General features: G+C 46.5%; 1 protein-coding gene across 28 annotated transcripts in view, besides 1 other annotated feature; it reads right to left on the bottom strand.

The window, feature by feature from the left end:
• The window catches only part of PKNOX2 (PBX/knotted 1 homeobox 2), a 268,639-nt gene that overhangs the window by 100,627 nt on the left and 144,539 nt on the right, over window positions 1–23,473 (bottom strand). For 20 of the 28 annotated variants that reach the window (NR_168078.1, NR_168083.1, NR_168079.1 and 17 more), the window contains one exon: window positions 838–944. The exons of 4 other annotated variants lie outside the window; for them this stretch is intronic. The gene's annotated coding sequence lies outside the window, so the exon portion shown is untranslated. Of the gene's footprint in view, window positions 1–74; window positions 148–837; window positions 945–23,473 lie in introns of all 28 variants that reach the window. 4 more of the 28 variants (NR_168082.1, NR_168080.1, NM_001382324.1 and 1 more) reach the window with 1 other exon arrangement.
• Window positions 20,081–20,665: an enhancer, noted in NCBI's record as "H3K4me1 hESC enhancer chr11:125181994-125182578 (GRCh37/hg19 assembly coordinates)". NCBI's record gives its function as "activates a minimal SCP1, AML or CMV promoter by ChIP-STARR-seq in naive H9 embryonic stem cells {active_cell/tissue: H9 hESC(naive)}" and the evidence as "EXISTENCE:reporter gene assay evidence [ECO:0000049][PMID:30033119]".

The following is a 23,473-nucleotide window of genomic DNA, read 5'->3' as shown; positions in this document are numbered from 1 at the left end:
ATGATTTCTGCTGCCAAAATGGAGACTGATGAACTGTAAAATCATGGTGGCCCTAAGACATCAGGGAAACTTACAAAATCCTGGGCAAGGTCCTTTGGAGTTGGGGCCCAATCTCACCATAACAGATCCAGCCCTTATCATGGCATACTGGAAAGAAAAAAGGGTTGTTTCGGATAACCGGATTTCTACATGCCTGCCTATATTGATACTTACGTCTGTGGGATCATGAAGTTACTTAAGGGGATTTAAAAAACCCTATCAGATAAGAGGATTAAATGAGATTCTCTATTCAAAATGCTTTATACATTCAAAAGAACCATTTCTCAGAGTTCATCAGAAACACCTGGAATGCAGTTTCCATGCATCAAAAAGATTTGGGGTGCAGGTTCCTGAGTCCTAATCCTGACTCAAAGCATCAGAAGCTTTGGCTTTGGGGTCCTGGAACTGCATTTTTAAGGAACCCCCCACCCCACCCCGCCACCACCAGGTCATTCATGGGTGATAATGTTTGCTCCAGAGGGCGGTACAAATGTGATCATCATCTTGATACTAAGCAAGGCCCCACCCATCTGTATCAACCACCATTTATTGTTCACAGAACCATTTATTGTTCACAGAATAGATGAAAAGAGACAGGAATAAGGCCCAGCCCTCCTCCTCAAGGAGCTAAGGAGGTGACATGAAGACATGAGAATAATCACACAATGATTGGCTTTCAAGGTCGTTCATGTTAAGTGTCAGCTCATGTTCTGAGCTCGTTCTAGAGGCCTTCAGAAGAAAAGATATCCTGCTTGGGGGGTGTAACTGTATGTTAAACGACAGAAGAGCATTTCTTACTGTTCGGGTGATCCCGGGGCCTCTGAGATGGTCCTCAGGAGACTCACTCCCCTCTTTCTACTTCCAGCTGGGCCAGAATTTCTTCCTGTCTGCTAGAGCCAAAGCACCTGCAAAAAAGGGTAGAGCAGCTCTCAGCAGGGAAGGCAAGAAGTGCAGGGGTGGTCAGAGAGGAGGGGCTTCCGGGCTGTGTTCTCCCCTCTCCAGGCCTCTCCAGGATGTCCTCTATTCTGTAATTTCCCTTGCAGCCATTTCTCCTGTATTTGCCATTCAACTCTCTCTCAATGTGGTCACTGAGGCCCATGGAGCCACTGTAGCCAGGCCCTGGTCACTGTTGAACACGCCCTATTGTTGTCCATCTGGCTTCCTGAACCAGGAGTGCCTGCGGCCCTCTCCCCCAAGTGTGGACAGGTGCCTGTGAGTGATTTCTGCGGTGCTGGGAAGACCACAGCTGACATCTTGTATTAAGGCTGTGGGGAAACTCAGAGGAAGGGGGGACAGTGGTAGATTTGCCAGGAGTGTGGATAAGTTGCAGATCCAAATGACAGTGGGCTTCGACTGGGGTCTGGAGAGACACTGAGGGGTTAGGGTGGGTGGGGAGGTGTCCAGGGCAGCAGGGAGGAAGAGTCGGAGGGGAATGGGCCTAAAGCAGCACTTAGCAGTAAAGGCTAACCTGTGGCCTCAAGCTGGCTTTGGCTGCATGACTTATTTTTATTTTTAGATTAAAGTGAATTAATTTTGTTTCTCAATATTTGAAATGGACCACGGCATTGGCAAATGGAGGCTGGGTGGTCAGCACGGCCATAAGGTCTGGCCGGACACTCCTCAAACAGTCCCATCAATTTCTCCTTGTGGATGAGTTGCTAATTGGACTTCAGTGAGGCTGTGCTTGGAGCCAGGATGGCAGGGTCGGGGGAGGGGGCTGCTCTGAGGCCTGGGCGGCACTTTCAGAGCAGCATCGGGAGAACCGCTGGCCAGGAGGGCCTGCCCTACGCCAGAGGTAAATGCATCTTTAACATCAACAGTTCCTTCCTAGTTAACACCATCTTACTCTCCCTGTAAAAACACATTTGCACCTCAGTAAAGAATGTAATTAACCAGTGACATGACAACAGGAGGAGCTAAACAGTGGGCCAGGCCGGGAGCTGCAAGGGGTGGTGGAAATTTAGACATTTGCCTAAACAATGAGACTTTCTCACCTCCCTTCTGGTGTGTGTGTGTATGTGTATGTGTGTTTGTGTGTGTGCACTGCTGGGAGGTGAGGGTGGCAGAGAGACAGCATCTGGGATCCTGAGGGAGGTTTGAATTCCTGGTGGCAGAAGAGAGGAAGCCAAGGGTGCTGGGAGGTGGGATGAGCTGAAGGAAGCAAGGATAAGCAGGGTGGTTTGTGAATTTCCATTAACAAAAGCTCTCTGGATTAAAACAAAAACCCCTCCCTTCTTTGCACCCCAGGCTCCTTCCAAGAGGACATAAGAGATACCAGCCATTGCCTGCCCTGGGCAGCCCCTGGGAAGAGCCCAAGAGATCAGGACCAGCTCACAGGCGTCATCGTGGTCCAGTTACTCCTAGCTTGTTCCTGGCACCAGGCTTCTCCTCCATGTGACCTCGTCTGTGAACTCTGTGACCGACTCCCGGTTCTGCGGCCACCCCAGCAGCAAACCTGGGAGATATGCGTGATTCCTCCCTCCTCCAAGCCTCATCTCCTTTTCACTCCCCCATCACTATCCCACTTCTCATCCTCTTCCAATCAGGGCTGAAGATATCTTCCCTCCTTTCTATCCCCAGCTGCACAAGCTACAAAGGGCCCTTCTCCCCTCCATGCTCCTCCTTCCCACCATCGGCCCCACAGCGCACCCCTGCACTGCTGCTTCCAGGCAGAGCTACCGGGACAGGTGACTTCATTCATGCTCTTCAAGGTCTCATCCATGCCAGGCACTGCCGACACAGCCGTGAGTGCCTCACACCTGTGATGGGCTTACAGCTGTGGCACCACGTCCTCCAGAAGTACAACGACTTCCTGCTCAGAGAAGGCCTTCAACACACATCTGCTCATTGTCGAAAAAGCAGCTGGCCCCGACTGCCTTTCTAGACTCATCTTCCACCCTGCACCATGGCTCTCTACTCTCCAACCACTCACAACACTTGCCATTCTCCAAACCCGTCCACAACTTCCCACTCCCCTCAATGCCCGATTCTATATTTCTGTCTGATCAGATATTTCTACCTGAACCATTCCTCAGTGTTCATGCAAACATTCTGGCTGCTACCTCCACAGCCAGAAGTAATTTTTCCTCCTCTGTGCTTCCAAATAACATGCTGCTTGTCATTCTCTGAAAGCTCTAGTCACATCCTGTCTCATGCTATGGTTATCTTAGATATCTTTCATCTCCTTCCAAACTATAAGCTTCTCATGGGCAGAAGTCCTATCTTAAATCTGTATAATTTTTTCAGTTCACAAAGTACTTTCATGTGTAATATCTTCTTTAACTCTTAAAACAACCTTTAAAAGTAGGTATTTTAATATGATGATTTTGTTACCTTTAAAAAATAGCAAATGCTTCTTGTAAAAAATAGACAAATAAGAGGAAAAATGTTAAGTTAGTAGCAATCCTACAATACAAATATAAGCTACAGTTAATATTTGGAGTAAAATGCTTCTTTTTTAAAAGCAGTATCATATTTTCATACTGTTCACTAAATAGCCTTTTGTATTTAACAACATATCATAAACACCTTTTCATGTAGGAGGAAAATATATTATAATTTTAATGATTATGGCATTCCATTTATGGGTATACTATAATTACTCAGACAAATTCTTCACATTTGTTGTTTAGATTATTTCCAGTTTTTGCTATTATAAACACATAATGACTATTCTTGCAGTGGACTCTTGCTCCAGACTTGATCATTTTCTTAGGATAAGTTTCTGGATGTGGAATTGCCAAGTCCAAAGGTGTGTTCGTCTTAAGGAATTTTTACAAATTACTTGCAGGAAGGTCATACCCATTTACATCCTATCAGCAGCGTATGAGAGATGCCTTTCCCTTGCCAGGTAGTTGCTCTTATTTTGTAGATGTGGAAAATGAGGCTTAGGAAAGTCAAGCACAGGGCTTGCCTAAGAAAACAGCCAGCAAGTGGCGTGTCTTCTGACTCCAGACATTTTGTTCTCCCAAGCTCTCTGCTTCTCTTTGCCCTTCTATTTCTTACCAATCCAAAGAGAGTGCCTGCAGTAGTAAGTGCTAAATTAATGTTGCACTCCCGGAAGGAGAGGCAGAGGCGGCTGTGCCCTGAGTGGTGGGGTGGGCCAATCCTGGGAGCTTTGCTAACATCAGCCTTTTCCGGGTGTCTGAGGCTGACTTGGTAAATGACAGATCTGTTCTTTGGTAGCTTTTTACTACTCCTTCCTGCCCTGTACCTGGGAAGGTACAAATTGCTTCAATTTAGTCCCCATATATTAAGAATCTACCTTGTGCTGGGGCCTGGGCATCAAAGACACAACACACATACTATCTGTCTCTGTCTCTGTCTCTCTTTCTCTCTCACTCACTCTCTCTCTCTCTCTCACTCACTCTCTCTCTTTCTCTCTCTCTCCCCCGCTCTCTCCCTGTCTTCTAGGTGTTTACAGTCTAGTGGGCAAAATAGAAGGTAAAGAAATAATTGCCACCTACAATGTGTGTGTGATGCTGCTTCTGACTGTCAGCCTCCAGATCCCACAATGGCCAGAGCAGGGCTCAGGGCCAGGGTCAGGGCTGGGGAGGGGAGGAAGCCCTGCCTGCCTGGTGTGGCCTCCAGCCTCTGTCTCTTTCATTGTGTCCCTCCTGGTGCTGGGGTTCCAGGGCTCCCTTCGACATCCTGCCATAGCCATGTGTTCCTTGTCTTTCTGCTCTAGCTGAGCCTCTGCTGCCCCCACCCCAAGACGACACAGAGGAGCTACAACTCAGAGAGGAATCACTCCAATATTAGGGAAAGAAGCTGACCCTGTTCTCCACTCAGGGAATAAAACACACATTTGAGAGAGGAAGGACGATCAGAGGTGACACCAGCATGCCCTCACACAGGGCACCGCTTCAGGGCTACAATACACTTGGAATTCTCCTTCCCAGAACTGACAACTGCCGAGTTCCATTTGTTTCCCAACAGCCTACAGAAAGCTACAAGGCATAAATACAGTCTGTAATCTCCTTCCTGTCACTGCCAGCAATTCCACCAAGCACAAGGGGGACCACTCACATGACAGAGAGCCAGGACTGCAGGGAGGAGGAGACCCCTGATGGCCGCGGCCATCCTCCCAGTCTCCAACCCTCCTCTTGCCCTCCACACTCAAGCTGTGTGCCCCTTTCTAGATTGCAGGCAGAGGGACCCAACAATCTCCTTTTTGTCACCATGCAGAGCTCTTCCTCTCTGAAAGCTAATAAGCAGCACAGCAGGCAGGGCCAAGCCACAGATGCAGACAGAAAGTCAGAGAGAAATGGAAGGATGGGAAGACACGGGGCTGTGTGACCCAATGACCCGGATGGTTCAGGGAACAAGAAAGGAAGCAAGAGCTTCACACTGAAGATAAAGTTCCTCTGTCCTCACGACCTCCCCACCTCCAGCACTGTAGCTCCCACAGGCCTCTCTCTGCCTATCCAAGTTCATTCTACTGGACCCGTCTATGGACATGGGCTGGCTTCCCCACAGATCACCTTTGCCTGTTTTGCCAACTTGTGCTTAGGCTTTTTGCAGATGAGTTGGATAAGTGAAGACCGAGCCTCTGGAATCTGTGGCCAGAGACCCAAACTAAAGACTTGTCCCCTGTCCACTCTGGGAAGGTTACCCCCACTCTGGTATCTATCTCAGGAGCATAAAACACCAAGCTTTTTTGTCCCAGTTGGCCCAAGAGCCTAAAAAAGCATCTGTTCTCACTCTGGAGCCCACCAAGGGCCTCTTCTTCCGTGAGTGCGGTGATGAAAGTGTGGTTTGCCTACACGGACACGCCAGCAGTCCCTAATAGCTGATGTTTGTGAATCCTCAGGCTTCACCTCCCTGCTGGCGGGGGTGAGCTATGGAGGTGTGGCAGCCAGGACCAGCTTCATCACACATTTGCTCTGTGATGTTGGATGAAGCATGCCACCGGTTTAAATTCTGTTTCCTCCTCATCATTATTGGTTTTCACCATTGCCATCTATAAACAAGGGGCTGGACCTGACAGTGTGACATTCTCTGATCTCATTCCCTGATGATGCTTGATCGGCTGTTAAATTCAACTGTCATCCCAGGGAAAGGCTCAAGTTTCACCAAGGCAATGAGGCTGATCTCAAAGACACCAGATGCCAATCCTCTAGAAAGAGAGGGGCTCTTTGGAAGCTAAAATAATTCATCGACTTGTTTATGGTGTTTCTCCTCTGCTCAAAAGTCTACAATGGCTTGCCAGGGCCTAAAAGACAAAATTGATATTTCTTAGCTTCCATTCTTCCCCTTCATAATCAGCCTGACCCTACCAATCTTACCTAATCCCCCACTACTTTCAAATCTGAACCTTTTCTCCAGCCAGTCCAGGCTGCCACTGCCTCACAGCCAAGCACACCCCCTGTGTGAGTTCCCTGGCCCACCTGCCACGCTTCCCTTTCCTCTGTTGTCCAGGTCCCATCCAACCTGCAAAGACCAGCTCAAGTCCTGCCTTTCTGCAGCCGAATGAACTCAGCCTCTTGCCCTCCTCACCCTATTACTGACCCTTGATCTTACTCAATTTTGTGAGCCCCTGCTTTGTGCGTGAATCTTAATCTCCCCTCGATGTCATCATAAGCTTTTGATTGTGAGACTTTCATATTTCTCTTATTCCTTCCATACATACCTAGGTGAGTACTGTACCCATGGAGATCATGGAAAGTACTGTTCCTGTCACATGAAGAGGAGCTGCTACTAGAAAATATTAAATCAGATCAATGCTGAACCAGTTCAGTTGATGGTTTGCTTACTTAGTTATTATTATTCATTGCCAAAGATATTAGAGTTCTTTATATTTCAATGTGTTCTTGAATTGAGAGCTGTTGACTAAACTATGTATTATTTTGCATGCTTCCTGCAGTAACACTAAGTGAATGTGGGAGAGAGAATACGATGGGTGGAAAGGTGAAGTCAGACAACCTTGAATTCCAATCCTAGGTTTCTGTTTTCCTAGCTGTATAAGTCACGGTTTTCCTACTTCTGTAAAATGGTTACAATAATACCCAACTCACAGGATGCTTCCTGGGATTTGATAGTATTACATTAGATGTGTGATATGCTTAGCAGATAGCAAAGGGCTTGGCAATGACGTAGACTGAGTCTTTCATAAATGATGACTATTGTCATTAGTGACAATGATAGCAATAATAACTTGTTTAGATCTCATCTAGCAGAATCTTTCTCATCCTCTGAGACTCGGCTCTGTTAGATTTTCTCTCATGACCACTGAGCCCCATACAGGGTGTCTGTCATTCCTTCCTTTCTGCTCCCCTAATACCTGGGACCATATCTCCAAGACAAAGTCCAAAGTCCTTAGCCATGAACTCCAGGCTGTGTCACTGAATTATCTGTTCCTAGGTGTGTCCCTCCCACTAAGCTCTGAGCTTCCAGAGAGCAGGGACTCTGTATTCCTCACCTGCACTTCCAGCCCTGGCCTAGCATCAGGATCAACGTGCATCTATTAAATGAGGGAAAGAACGGATAAGCAGGAATGCCAGAAGCAGTCAAGAGACCTGGGCAGAGTTTGGCCAGTCACAAATTTTCTTTCTGGAGAAAGGGGCCTGGGGGAGAGATTGGTAATTGGGAATGCATCATGAAAAGCAAATGTCCGCTTTAATTCAGCTAAGACCAGCCCACTTGAAAGGGACTTTAGAAAAAGCCTTTCACTTGCCCAGCAGGATTTTCTTATTTGGGGAACCTTCAGCCCCATCAGAAGACTTTGACATTGAACATCTCTGCAAGGCCCTGCCTGTCTCTACTTTCCTTACAAAACTCAGCCTAGCCTCCTTCTCTCACTCCTCCCCTCCCATCCCTTTCCCCAGTGGTCAGACCCTCAGCCTCTGAGTCCTTGCTCTCTCCCCAAGCCAGCCTGCTTGATGACTCTGGGTTCCAAGCAGGCTCCCCAGCTCCAATGGCTCTCTCCAGAAGCAGGTGAAGGTAAGTGCATCTTGGTACAATCTGTTTGTTTTTGCCTCTGCCACCAGATAGAGTGAGCTACATTTTCTTCCTTTCCATCTCCACAGCCACATCTCAGCTCAGCAATTCCCTCCTGATCCATCTCTCTGGGGGCTGCTGCATCCTCCACAGGCTGCACGAGGACCGTTCCAGCCACTTACAGCATCCTATGCACAGTTCTCTTCACACTTAGCCAGCCACATTGTGATCGTCTGGGTACTACTCTGCCACCCCACTTGATTATATAATCCTAAATGGAATCTCAAGCCTATAGAGCTCCCCAGAGCCTAAGATGTATTTTGTACATATAAGGTGTTCAGCATATTTGCTGGATAAAGGAGTAAATACATGTATATATTCAGCAGAGGACATGTGGAGTGTATAACACACCACATGCTGATCTCCTTTACGAAGAACCATATTATCCAATTTATTATTTAAGCCTTGCAGCAACTTTGGAAAGTAGTTATTATTAGTCCTATTTTTAAAAAGGGAAAACTGAGGTTAGAAAGTTAAGCGACTGGCCCAAAGAAAACTGGTTAAGGGGTGAAGGGAAAGGGTGGAGTCCACCTGCCTATCTAGTCCAGGAAAAGCTATAAAGAGGGTGAGCTGCTTCTGTTCTGCCTCTCTTGGGAAATAAACAAGAAGAATTCTTCTTCTCATCATTTGGTGAGTCGGTGACATTTCATTTGACAAAGAATCTAGGAAAAGCCTCTCTTGGGACTAGTTTTGGGACCAGGCTCTGATAATATTGCTTTATTGAAAAAGGATGCTAGGAACTGAGCTCCGGATGGCCTTTTACATGGAGTAATTTATGCAGGAAATGAGATATATATTTTTTTAAAGAAACACACATTGATCTACACAGTCACAAAGACATCAGTGACAACACACACACACACACACACAACCCCAGAAACAGTGTCACAGACACACAAAGGCACAGATTCCAGTTCAGGGTCATGCCACACACAGTAAGCAGCCAGAAGATTCCAGGTCAGATGGATACAGAGCCCTAGGCTCACACCCACTTGCAAAACAGTCGGAAGCCTCTCTCTGACTTTTCCTTCCATGCCTTCCAGGAGAAATTGCGATTTTCCCCACACATGTAAATTTTCGTTATTAAGGAACGCAGAGGAAGCATGACATTGAAGAAATTAATCTCTCTGTGCCTCCCTGCCCTTCTCAGGGCTCTATTTCCTCCTGTGATGACCACACCGCTTATGGAGATGGTGCCAATCCGATGACCTGCACCCTGGGGCATAGCTCCCACTCAGGGAAGATTTACACCTTGTGCCTTGCAGAGGTTTCAGTCATAACCAGCTCCTGGAGGACAGCAAAGGAAGGCAACAAGGAAGGGAAATGAAATGTCTGTAAAATTCTCATTCAGACACTGCTGAGAAATGAATTTCAGAAGTGGAAGGCATGGTAAAAAGCATTTTATTTAAAATGCCTTTCTCCCTAGGCTGTTTGTGAAGAGTTGGTATTTGAAAGGACATCTGAAAGTTAGGACTTCCCTTCCAGCCATGGTGATTTTGACCTGGGCTCAAAGCAGAGCCCAGGATCCCTGTACTTACAAAATTGGCACCGAGAAACTCACGGATGCTGGAAACGCACTGGGAGCCAAGATACCTGGCCTCCATCCATAACTCTCCTGCATCAGCACGTCACTGCTCTGGGCCTCAGTTTCTCCATCTGCAAAGTGAGGTTAGGACCAGATGGTCCCTTCCACCATGGTCTGCATCAGGGGACTCCTTGCTCTGCCTTGGTCCAGTGTTAATAAGACTTTATGTACTGGGGTTATCTGCAAGATGATGTATACAACCCAAAGCATGTCCAATCCCATCCGTTAACTTTTTGTTTATGCTTCACTGTAACTTTGTGAGGTTGGTAGTTCTGGTATCAATATACCCATTTTACAGACAGAATAAGCAAAACTGAGACTTAACTGTCTCGGCTAAGGTCACAAAAATAATCAATATTGAAATCTCAAGTTGATCTATTGGGATATTCAATGGAAAGGTGACCTGCACACTCTGGGGGATCTGGGGGACACAGGGGTGATGGCAGATGACTAACTGCTCCCCCTTCCAGCTCTGCAGCCAAGTATCTGCCACAGTGATTCAGCAGTGAGGGTGTCATCATCCATGGGGAGTTCTGGGCGTGATGCTGCCCAGGAGCCACTGGGCTCATCAGGATTAAACCCCCACGAGAGCAGCGCCATCCTGGGTGGGGCGGGGAAGGTGGTCATTAGTGGGCTTCACTTCATGGAAAACGCAGAGGACAGCAGCTTGTGACTGTGTCTGCATAAGAGAGGACAAGGTCCCTCAGCACTGTCATAATGATGAAGAGGACAGGCAGTGGAGGGGGCTGTAGAACGAAAGGGCAGAGTCTGGAGGGATGGCTACCGGCACTTGGATATGCTTCCCAAAGCTCGGTCTTTCTCTGCACTGCTGTTCCCCATTTTTCTCCAGTACCCTCTAAACTCTGACAATAAACCCTAGGACCTCAGATCACCCATTCCTATGCTCAAAAACATATATATACGTTTTTTTTTGAATAAGACACATCTTTAGTGCAGGTATTCGAGACCTTTCATGACATGGCTCCTACCTAACTTCTAGCCTATGACTCTCCTTCAAGGACGCCAGGTCAGGGGCTGGCAAACCACACCCTATGGTCTGAATGTGCCTCTCCAAAACTTGCATGGAAACCTGATCCCCACTGTGGTGCTATTAAAAGATGGAGCCTTTTGGGAAGTGATTAATTTATGAGGGCTCTGCCCTCATCAATGGGATTGGTGGCCTTATAAAAAAGACTCGAGTGAGCTCCTTTTGCCCACCCCCTGTGTGAGGACACATAGAAGTTCCCATCTATGAGAAAGGAGCCCTCACTAAACACTGAATCTGCTGATGCCTTGATCTTAGAGTTCAAATCTCCAGAACTGTGAGAAATAAATTCCAGTGTTTTCTACATTACCCAGTCTAAGGTATCTTGTGACAGCAGCCCAAAAGGACTAAGACATAAACTCACAAGCCAAATCCTGAGGCTGCCTGTTTTTGTAATTAAAGTTTTATTAGAACACAGCCACGCCCATTTGTTTACTATTGTCTATGGCTGTTTCCCACTGTGATGACAGCGTTGAACATGGTCAGCCCTCTGTATCTGTGGGTTCCACATCTGCTGATTCAACCAACTGCAGATAGAAAATATTTGGGAAAAAAATTTAATCTGTACTGAACATGTGCCGACATTTTTCTTGTCATTATTCCCTAAACAATACAGTAGGACAACTATTTACATAGCATTTACATTGTATTAGGTATTATAAGTAATCTAGAGATTTAAAGTATACAGGAGTATGTGCGTAGGTTATATGCAAATACTACACCATTTTATATAAGGGACTTGAGCATCTGTGAATTTTCGTATCTGTGGTTGGTCTTGAAATCAGTCCCCCACAGATACCGAGGGATGATTGCAGTTGCAACACAAGACCTGAACTATTTACTGTTCGAAATTTTACAGAAAAAGTTTGCTGATCTCTGCTCTGGGTTATAGTTAAACTGTACTCACCCTCTCCTATACAGATTCCACTTTTAGACACCTCCAGGCCTTTGCTTGTTCCAAGACTGGGATGCCCTCTTTCCGTACTCTAATAGTTGAAATACAGCTCTTCCTCAAGGACTCAGCTCAAATGTTATTTATTCTGTGATGCCTCCTGAATTGCTACAAAGAATTGCTCATAGCTCTTTACAGCCATGGCACACTGTTAGGATGACCCCACAATATATCATCCAAACTGGAGTAATTTTGAGAGTGAAAGAGAGCACAATGACTAATTACACAGCAACTACAGGTTGCAACGGAGACCATGCCAGGCAAAGCAGGTTGTGTGGTTGCCAGCATGGAGTGCTTCTGTCATCCTGCCTCCTAAGGGTTAACTGTTTACATATCCACCTCCCTCCAGGAGGCAGCACGCTTAAGGGCAAGGGCAGTGTGGGGATTTTTTTGACCCTCAGAGCATCTTTACACAGCAAATGTGATCAATTCATATTTGTTGAGGTGAAAGAAAGAAGGGCTCTGGTCCGAAGCTAGACACAAGCAGTTTCTTTAAGAGTAGCAAGCTGGAATAACAGAGGATAGAGGAGCCATTAGCTAAATGGGGAGGAGGTGCTTGCAGCCAATGGAGGTTGCAGGCTTGTGTGTGTCTCATGGAGCCTGTATGCCTAGCTTGACAGGGCATTTCAGTACCTGGAACACCAGGAGTCACCTCACCTTTCTGCATCTCTGGCTCCTCTGCTGCCCACCCTCCTGTTCCTCCAAGCCCAGCCCATTCATCCTCTCAGCTCCTACCTTCCCTCCTGACATCTGGTCTCACCGATCCTAGGGTGTATCTCTTGTTCTACAGGGTACCATGTACATCTCAGTCCTGGGTCTATAATGATCAAAGTGGTCGTAACCTCCTGAATCTCTGCTGTGTTAGAAAAGGAGGGGTGCTAATTCAAGGGCTATAGCTTATTTCTATGGTTCCTAGATTCCCACTTTAGACTGAATACTGGGTAACCAGAATTTAAATATGCCTCTCCTTTCATAAAGCACCGGAACATTCTATAGACTTCTGCTCACTAAAATGAGAAACAGGAAACAGCAAGGGATATGAGGACCCATTTAACATTCTTGACACTCTCCATCTGTTTTCCTTTAAACAGCTAGAAAGATCTTTTTGAAGGTGCAAATACTCTATTACATGGTCATACCTCCCTTGTTTCAAGCACAATATGGCTTTCCCATTCTTGAGATCAACGTCAAAATCTTTACCATGGTCTAGAAGGTCAGTCTGGCCCTTCCCACCTTTCCAGCCTCATCTAGCTTGCTGTTTGGCCTCCATCCACCCAGGCCTTTGTGCCCTCAAACAAGCCATGCTTCTTCCCACCACAGGGCCTTTGCACAAGCTACCCATGTTCCTGGAAGGTGCTCTTTCTCCTGCTTTGCTTTCACATCTCAACTCAAGAGTCACTTCCTCAGGGGAGCTACAGTGACCTCTCAGGTAAGCCTCCTTTGTTATATGCATTTCTTAATTCAGTTTGAGAATTTAATTAATGTTGTAATTATATATTATATGTGATTATTTGAGTAATGCCTGTTTTCTCCATTAGGCTATAAAACTCCATGTGGACAAGAGTCCAGGCTTGTTTTGCTCCTCTTGAAACCCCAGCACCTGGTAGCACTTAAAAATATTACAGACACATCTCATTTTATTGCGCTTCACTTTGGTGTGCTTTGCAGATATTGCATTTTTTACAAATTGAAGGTTCATGGCAACACCGCATTGAGCAAGTTTATCAGTACAATTTTTCCAACAGCAGGTACTCACTTCATGTCTGTGTGTCACGTTTTGGTAATTCTCACAATATTTCAGACTTTTTCATTATTATATATGTTATGGTGATCTGTGATGAGTGATCTTTGATGTTATTATTGTAATTATTTTGGGGTGCCATAAAATGTACCCCTATAAGATGGTGAACTTAATCAATAAATGTCATGTGTGTGAGGCACAACAATATTAAAATTAGGTCAATTAATAACCCTACAGTGACCTCTAAGTGTTCTAGTGAAAGGAGTCCCATGTTTCTCACTTTAAATCAAAAGTTAGAAATGATTAAGCTTAGTGAGGGAGGCATGTCAAAAACTGAGTGTATTAGTCTGTTTTCACATTGCTATAAAGAAATACCTGAGACTGGGTAATTTATGAACAAAAGAAGTTTAACCAACTCACAATTCAGCATGACTGGGGAGGCCTCAGGAAACTTAAAATCATGGTGGAAGGTGAAGGGGAAGCAAGGCACGTCTTACATAACAGCAGGATAAAAGGGTGAGAGGAACCGCCAGACACTTATAAACCATCAGATCTCATGAAAACTCACTCACTTTCACAAGAACAGCATGGGGGAAACTCACTCATGATCTAATCACCTCCACCAGGTCCCTCCCTCAACAGGCAGGGATTACAATTTGAAATGAGATTTGGGTAGGGACAAAGAGCCGAACCATATCATTGAGATAGGGCAAAAGTTAGGCCTTTGTGTCAAACAGCCAAGTTGTGAATTCAAAGGAAAAGTTCTTGAGAGAAGTTTAAAGTGCTACTCCAGTGAACACGTGATAGAGAAGTGAGTGAGACAGTCTTATTGCTGACGTGGTAAACGTTTGAATGGTCTGGATAGAAGATCAAACCAAACACAACATTCTCTAAAGCCAAAGCCTAATCCAGAGCAAGGCCATAACTCTCTTCAATTCTATGAAGGCGGAGAGAGGTGAGAAAGCTGCAGAAGAAAAGTTGGGGCAGGGCACAGTGGCTCACACCTGTAATCCCAGCACTTTTGGAGGCCAAGGTGGGTGGATCACCTGAGGTCAGGAGTTTGAGACCAACCTGGGCAACATGGTAAAACCTCGTCTCTACTAAAAATACAAAAAAAAAAAAAAAAAAATTAGCCAGGCATGATGGCGGGTGCCTGTAATCCCAGCTACTGAGGAGGCTGAGGCAGGATAATCACTTGAACCCAGGGGGCAGAAGTTGCAGTGAGTCGAGATTGCACCATTGTATTCCAGCCTGGGTGACAGAGCAAGACTCTGTCTCCAAAAAAATTAAAAAATAAAAGTTGGAAGATAGCAGAGGTTGGTTTATGAGGTTTAAAGAAAGAAACTATCTCTATAACATAAAAGTGCAAGGTGAAGCAGCAAGTGCTGATGTATTATAGAAGCTGCATCAAGTTATCCAGAAGACCTAGCTAAGATCACTGATGAAGGCTACAGTAAACAACAAATTTTTTCAGTGTAGACAAAATAGCCTTATGTTGAAAGAATATGCCATCCAGGACTTTCATAGCTAGAAAGGAGAAGTCAATGTCTGGCTTCAAATCCACAAAAAAACAGGTTGACTTTTTTATTACTGGCCAATGCAGCTGGTGACTTTAGGTTGAAGCCAGGGCTCATTTACCATTCCAAAAGTCCTAGGACCCTTAAGAATGATGCTAAATCTGCTTTGCCTGCACTCTATAAATGGAACAACAAAGCCTGGGTGACAGCTCATCTGTTTACCACATGGTTTACTGAATATTTTAAGCCCAACGTTGAGACCTACTGCTCAGAAACAAAGATTCCTTTCAAAATGTTACCAGTCATTGGCAATGCACGTGATTACCCAAGAGCTCTGATGGAGATGTACAAGGAGATTAATGTAGTTTTAGTGCCTGCTAACACAACATCCATTCTGCAGCCCACAGATCAAGGAATACTTTTGACTTTCATGTCTTATTATTTAAGAGTACATTTTGTTAAGGCTCTTGCTGCCATAGATAGCAATTCCTCTGGTGGATCTGAGAAAAGAAAATTAAAAACTTTCTGGAAAGGATTCACCATTCTAGTGCCATTAAGAGCATTCATGATTCATGGGAGGAGGTCAAAATATCAACATTAACAGGGATTTAGAAGAAGTTGATTTCAAGCCTCATAGATGACTTTGAGGGGTTCAAGATTTCAGTGGGAGGAATAGCTGCAGGTGTGGTGGAAATAGCAAGAGAACTAGAATGAGAAGTGGAGCCTGAAGATGTGACTGAACTGCTGCAATCTCATGGTCAAACTTGAATGAATAAGAAATTGCTTCTTATGGATGAACAAAGAATGCAGTTTTCTGAGATGGAATCTCCTCCTGGTGAAGATACTGTGCACATTGTTGACAACAAGGGATTTAGAATATCACATACACTAGGTTGATTAAGCAGCAGCAAAGTTAGAGAGAATTGACTCCAAGTTTGAAAAAAGTTCTACTGTGGGTAAAATGCTATCAAACAACATCACATGCTACAGAGAAATCTTTTGTGAGACGGTGAGTCTGTCAATACAGCAAACTTCATTGTTGTCTTATTTTAAGAAATTGCCACAGCCACCCCATCCTTCAGCAACTAAACTCCTAATCAGCCAGCAGCCATCAACACTGAGGCAAAACCCTCCAGCAGCAAAAAATTATGACTTGCTGAAGGCTCAGATTATCATAAGCATTTTTTAAGCAATAAAGTATTTTTAAATTAGGTATGTATGTTGTTTTTTAAGGCATAATGCTATTCCACACTTAATAGACTACAGTATAGTGTAAACATAACTTTTATATGCCCTGGGAAACCAAAAGATTCATGTGACTTGCTTTATTGCCATATTGTCTTTATTGTGGTGGTCTGGAATCCAACCTGCGATGTCTCCCAGTTTATGCCTGTAATGGAATGATCATCCTCAGGAACCGAGTCAAAGATTGGGAAGGCTACCTCTGATCATTTCTCGATGCAGTAAGTGAAATTCAAGATGAAGCTAGGGATTAAATTCCTCTTTCTTCTTATCCTGCACTTTCAGCTTCTTCTCCATGCAAAGCTGTCTTTAGGGGCCCAGTGCATAGAAGGCCACATAAGAGAGTTCACACAGGCCCCGGCACTGGATGGAGGTTCTCAGGTCAAGACAGGCAACAGATGCGGATAAGTCCATATTGGGGCAGGTGGATGGACGACCACTAAAGAGGGGTGAGTCAGTAGCAACTGGCTGGGAATGAGGGGTTCACAGTGGGTCTCATTCCCTCCATGCGTCCTTCGCACACCATCGTGGGCTCCATGAGAACGCAAAGGAGCCTTTTGCACTCCCTGGGTCCGTCCTCCATCCTTCCCTTGCTGTTGTCATGGTGTCCTCTTACGTATGGACATCTTTGCCTCCACTCCAGCGCAGCCTCCTTGAGGACAGAGACTGTGCCTTACATGTCCTTGAATCCTCACAGCTCCTGCTACAAGGTCAGGCACAAGATAAATATTTGTGGACTCCTGCTCTTACACAGGGGGTGTAAATGTGAGGGTACCTGCTTGTAGTGTAGAGCCAGAGGACAGCTTTAAGCCTCGGGTAGGGGGTGGCACTGGGGAGGCCATGGGGGCACTGTGGTCTCGGGTGTGCAGAAAGAGTCAGCACTTGAGCCAAACACTAAGGCTTTTCTAGCCCAGCCACCACTGGACTGAGAAGCTGCCCACTCCCAGGCTGGCTCATCTGAAGCATGGAGCGGGTCACTACGCCCTCAGATCTGGTGAGAGACACACCATTAGCTGCCATGCACTCAGCCCTCCCAGCCCTGCAAGGCAGTCTGCCAGCTGCACCCTGGGGTGGGGTTGAGCAAAGGCCTCCCACCGGCCAGGCCAGGGAGAAAACAAAACAGCTGCCTCTGTGCTGGCACCAAGCCCACTCCCTGTGAGAAGGCCTCTCTGCACTGGGCCAATAAATAATAGAAAGTCCAAGTGGTCCAAGGTAGCAGACCCCATGGGCTGGGCCTCGGGCAGGAGGCAGAGCCGCCCACCAGTTTGGGAGCACAAGGATTAATAACGCATCAATTTTAATGCAGAGAGAGGTGTTTTTTTTTTTTTTTTTTTTTTTTTCCTGCTTCACAAACAGTAAAGTGAATGTTTGAGCATCCTGGCAGGGGGTTAATGAGGACTCTGATTAGTTATTCGGATTTCTCCACACTGCCTCCATCTATCCTACTAGGGAGGAGAAAAGGAAGGAGGTGGGGAGAGGGGGATGCTGTGGAGAGCAGGGGTGGGCCCATGTGAACCTCCTGCCTCCCTCTGAGCAGGCTTCAGCCAGAGGGTAACTGCAGCCCACCCTGTGGTAGAACCAAGGGCCGGAGAGGGCCTTAGAGAGGACTCTGTCCGGCTCCTGGTTGGGAAGACCAGAGGGGTGTGACTTGCTGGCCACAAAGGGGAGCAGTGAGAGCCTCTGGCCAGAACCCAGCCTGCCTGGGGCTTCTGCTGCATGGAAATTCCTTTCCCCAACTCTCTTTCCTGACCCAAAGTCAGGAAAGGAATAGTCTCCTTTTCCCTTAAGGAGGCTGCTGCTCAGGGGTAATCCAGTGTCCAGCCAGGGCTGCCCCGGGGCTGGGTCCAAGGAGCATCCTCATCGGAACATCTCTGCCAGGTTTTTTGTCCTCTCGGGGGCAGGGCAGGGCAGGGCAGGGCTGGGGAAGCAGTAGGCAAGGTGAGAGTTTCTGGGATGGCCCCTACTCTCTGCAGCACAGCCAGAGCTGGGGGCTGCACTGCCTCCTCTGCTCCCAGCTGTGGGCATCTAGCCCGGCTCTCGGGGAGCTGAAGTACGAAGCCTTGTCCCCTCCCCACTGACTGCAGGTCAGTGATGGATCCTGCCCATTTGGCCCCTGACATGCAGAGCACACCAGAGGAGCAAAAGCATGCGGGGAAGCAGCATGCTCCCAGGAGGAGAAACTGCCGGGCCATCTGGACGCGAGCTCTGAGTCTTCCCCACCATTAAGATGCAGATGGACTTCTGAGCAAGGTCTCCCCTCCCTGACCCACCCTGGCTCCCAACCCATCTGCTGCCGCCCAGGACCCAGAGCAGATCCAAACTGGCCATGGTGACGTTGCGAGCAAGTGATGTCGCAGTGAGGGCACCGCACTGCAGGTGCTCTGAGATCACTGAAATCCCCCAGGTGCCTCTCTTTGGTGATTCACGACGAGCTGACCATGACACCAACCCCAAATTCTCCAACTGGAAGGTGAAGCCCCTTCATCAACTGTCCCCAGAGTCAGGGCTGGTCTCCTCTGCATACCCACAGGGCTCCGCAGCCCTGCATCCTCAAGGAAGTCTTGGATGCTCCTACGGCAGCCCAGGACCTCAGCTATTTCCTCTAATTCATTCAGTATAATAATGGCCAGTGCTTACTGGGGGTCACTTGTGTGCCTGGCATTGTGCCCAGTGCTTTACACACAGAACTCACAGGGCTGCACTCCATCCTGTGCGGTAAGTACTAACATCCAATTGCATCTTAGCCCGGCACTTTCCAATAGAACTCTCTGTGGTGATGGAAATGCTCTCTGTCTGTATTTTCCAATACCATGGACACCATGTGGCTACTGAGCACTTGGCTCAAACCTGGTGTGACTCAGTCACTGAATGTTTAATTTCATTTCATTTTTATTTTTATTTGAATAGATACACGTGGCTTGTGGCTACCAGCTGCCACGTTAGACAGTATATATTTGAGGAGGCCCTGCGATGTGCTGAATATCACAGCTAGGAAAGGGCATGGACAGGACTCAAGCCAGGGTTGTCTGCCTCCTGGGTACATGTGCTTTTCCAGGATGCTGTCCTTTGAGCTTTATCTTCAAGTGCAAAATGAAACCAAGGTAAAGAAGTGGAGTGGCATTTGCAAGTCCATGCAGTGCTCACAGCCAGCAGGAGCTCTGTGAGGATTCCAGGAACTCCTTGAGGGGAATAAAGATGAGTCAGACCTGGTTTCTGCCCTCAAGGTGCTCCCAATTCAGTTGAAAGAGAAAATTCTACTTGGGACAGGAGAGTTCAGATGCAGAACTGAATGAGGTAGGATGTCACCTGGATAACCCACAGCAACCTCCCCAAACTCACCAGGCCCCATTAGGGACTCCAGCAGCTCCCTCCTGCCCACCCTCTGTCTGCTCCTTTCTTCCATGTTCCTCAGTTTGGATGAGGGGCACTGCCATTGCAGACATTCAAGAAACAAACCTGGGGGTGCCCTCGACTTCTCTTTCCCCTTTCTCCCTTCTTTCACCTTCTACTTTCAAAGACACACAGATAGTTCTTCTTAAGTGCCCCGTAAACACTCTCTGCTTCCCATCCCTGCTGTCTAAGCTCCCTGTTGCCCTCGGTGGAAGGCGATAGCATGACACGGGCCTCCAGTGGGCTTGGCCTCCTCTGCAGCCTCCCCCCTGCCTTTCACACGGCATGCGAGCGAAGGCCTTCCTTATGCCTCTGTTCATCTTTAAATGCTGTTTTCTCTGTTCAAAATGCCCTTTCCTACCTTATCTACTTGTGCCACTGCATATTCCTAAGGCTCAACTCAGGGTATCTTCCCTCGGAAACCTTGTCTGATCATCCTGGCCCCTCTGGCGGACAGTAATTTCTGCCTCTGTGCTCCCATCACCTGAGCACACCTGTATGGTGCTGCTGAGCCCGCTGAATTGGCATTATGGGCACGTGCGTCTCCTCCATTCCATGGAGCTCCTCGAGGTGGGTGGTTTTGTCTCTGTGCTCAGAGTGCCTGCCGTGCGTGACACTCGGGGGGTGGCAGGCAGGGTGCGGTGGGTCTGCCCTTGCAGTCATCCACAGAGCCACAGCACCCGCTGCCCCGGCCCTCCTGCCTCAACACACCACACACCACCTTATGGAATATTCCTGATTCACCTCACAGCCTGTCTGCTCTCCTGGGGCACAGCAGGGTGACTTCCCACAGAACCTGGTGCTCAGCGTGAACTCAGACGGCTTTGAAGTGAGTCTCAAAATCAGCCAGCTTCAGCCCCAACTGAAATGGGCTTGGATCTGTGGCCTCCACACTCTCCTTTTGCCTCTTGCCTTCCTGGTCCTCCCCTCCACCAGGCATTTTTTTGATAGTGAGCTTCAGGAAACTTCAGTTTCATCCAAAAGAATTTTTTACTGTGTGGTGCACAGATCCGGGGACCCGATCATACTGAACATCCTTCTTACCCGCACACAGCACTCCACCCCTTACAAAGCAGTGCCCTCATCTAGCTCTCATTTAATCATCACAACTCCCCCTTGTAGGAGGAAAGTTACGCACTGTTTTTCCCATTTTACACATGAAGAAACAGAGGCTCAGAGAACCTAAAGGACTTGCCCAATCTAAAGTGCTGGATCTGAGGTCCAAATTCAGACTTTTTTTTCTTCTTCTTTGAGACAGTCTCATTCTGTCACCCAAGCTGGAGTACAGTGGTGTGATCTCGCTCACTGTAACCTCCACCTCCCGGGTTCAAGAGCAAATTCAGATGTTTTGATTCTAAGCTCAGTATTCAATTCACTGGGAGGACAGTGATGTCAAAAATTTTTTAAAAAATGTTTTTTTAAGGATCACAGAGGAAGAATAGGCTTGGAGGAGGTGCTGATGAGTTTATTTGAGGGCATTGTGCTCAAGGCTTTGATAGGACGCTGGGTAGAACAGAAAACTTGACATGAGTGTTCGAGGCTACGTTCTACCCCTAGTCCACTGTACAATCACCACACAAAGCTGTCTGCTGTTCCCCAAACACCATCTTGCATCTTTACCTTTGTGCCCTTCATAAGGAATTTATAGCCTTCTCTGCATCTCTGATGCACAACTGCTTAAAATGTCACCTCCCTTCATGTCTCTTTCTTGCATCTTCCCAGGCAGACATGGGCTCTCCTTCTGGGGGGCTTTCACAGCACTTTGCATACACCAGAATTCTAACCCTTGTCCCTTCTACCTAGGGCTATAGCAACTTGTGTGTCTGCCTCCTCCATGGTGTCTAAGGCGGGGACAATTCTTGTTCCCTTTTGTATCGCTCGCAGTATCTAGTACTGTGCCTTGGGCGTAAGAGGTGATCAAAAAAATATTGGTGGGGTTGGATTTCCTTGCTAATGCTATTTCTAAGGAGTGTTGGCAAAAGAGGGCAAGGTCTAACCCATGTCTTTCTAATGGGGAATGTGAAATATAATGGACATCACATCTTAGCCCAAATTTTCAAATCTGAGTTCTGTGATGATTTAAAAGTACATGTACAAAAGATGGAACAAGGCATGGAAGAGTAAAAAGCAACACAAAAGAGTAGGCTGGGCCTGTTAGAAGTGTGCTAGGAAGGCCAAAGACCAGAGTGAACTGGAGTCTAAAAACACCTTCCCCCACCAGACTCCCCCATACCACACACATTCTCTCCCTGTTCTCTTAAAAAGCAATACTTGAAACAAAATGGAAAGAAAAAAAAATTAGGGATTGAGGCAGCTATATCCCGGGGCAGACATATGAGGTTACCAGACGACAGAAGGAAAGCAAACGATTGAACTCCCACTTGGCTTTGTTTTTTTCAAGGACAACAATCATCAAACCAGAAAGATGATTTTAAAAGGGTTCAAGTTTGAGATAGGTGAGGAGATGGTAAACTAGCATCTCATAGCTTTAAATAAACTCAAGTCTGTGGACAATGGCAAATTATATCTTGGAGTATGGAAAGAACAGGATTGCAAAACCACTGTTAGCTGTTTGTGAACTGATGAAAACAAATAGCTTTTAGAGATGGAAATGAGGCAAAAGTTTTCCCTCTTTTCAAAAAGTGGCAAGCATCAGGGTTCTGGAAGCTATGTAACAGTAAGTTTGGCATTACTTGTTAATGAAAATTCTAAATAGGATTATTTATTTATATATTATTATTTTTATTATTTTTTTTTTTGAGACAGAGTCTCACTCTATCTCACAGGCTGGAGTGCAGTGGTAGGATCTCGGCTCACTGCAACCTCCGCCTCCTGGGTTCAAGCAATTCTCCTGCCTCAGACTCCTGAGTAGCTGGGATTACAGGCATGCGCCACCATGCCTGGTTAATTTTTGTATTTTTAGTAGAGATGTGGTTTCACCATGTTGCTCAGGCTGGTCTCGAACTCCTGACCTTGTGATCCACCCGCCTCAGCCTCCCAAAGTGCTGGGATTACAGGTGTGAGCCACCGCGCCCGGCCTAATAGTATTATTTATGAAAGAAAGAAGAGATGACCAAGAACCAGAATGGCTTCACTGAAAAACAGTCATGTCAAACTAACTTTATTGCCCTTTAAAAAAACACACACATAGAATTCCTAGGCTGGCATAAGGAAAATTCTGAAAAATATCTTGATTTCAGTAAGCAGTATGACAAAGTCTTCCATGATATCCTTCTGGGTAGGATGAAGAAGAGTAGCTTGAATGGCGGAACCGGAAGAGTTTTTAGCTAGGTGAGTGATTGTCTCCAATCAATGTTGGTCAGTAGAATTCAGTCTGGAAGGAGCTGTTTCATGCTGAAGTAACCAGCTTTATACTGTTGAGAATTTTTGCCAAAGATTTGCATGACACTATGGAAGGTGTGCTGATCATTCCACACACTGAAATAAATAGTTAATGTGTTTACAGAGAGAATTAAGATTGAGAAAGAGCTCATGAGGCAGAAATTACAGGCTGAAAGCAAGAAGATGATGTTGAGTAGAGAGAAATATAAATTGGTACTGTTAGAGGCCGGGCACAGTCGCTCACGCCTGTAATTTCAGCACTTTGGAAGGCCAAGGCGGGCAGATCACCTGAGGTCAGGAGTTCGATACCAGCCTGGCCAACATGGTGAAACCCTGTCTCTACTAAAAAATGCAAAAATTACCCGGGCGTGGTGGCCGGTGCCTTAATCCCAGCTACTTAGGAGGCAGAGGTGGGAGAATCGTTTGAACCTGGGAGGTGGAGTTTGCAGTGAGCTGAGATCGAACCATTGCACTTAAGCCTGGGGGACAAGAGTGAGACTTCTCTAAAAAAAAAAAAAAAAAAATTGGTACTGTTAGAGTAAAATGCAAACTGTATGGGTGAGGGAGATGGAATTTGAAAGCATGTCATGTGGGAAAAAAATAAAGGGATGTTGGAATGAAA

Source organism: Homo sapiens, chromosome 11 (assembly GCF_000001405.40).
Source record: "Homo sapiens chromosome 11, GRCh38.p14 Primary Assembly".
NCBI classification, from domain to species: Eukaryota; Metazoa; Chordata; class Mammalia; order Primates; family Hominidae; genus Homo; species Homo sapiens.
Note: the sequence above shows the minus strand (reverse complement) of the source record. Positions and strands in the feature narration are given on the sequence as shown.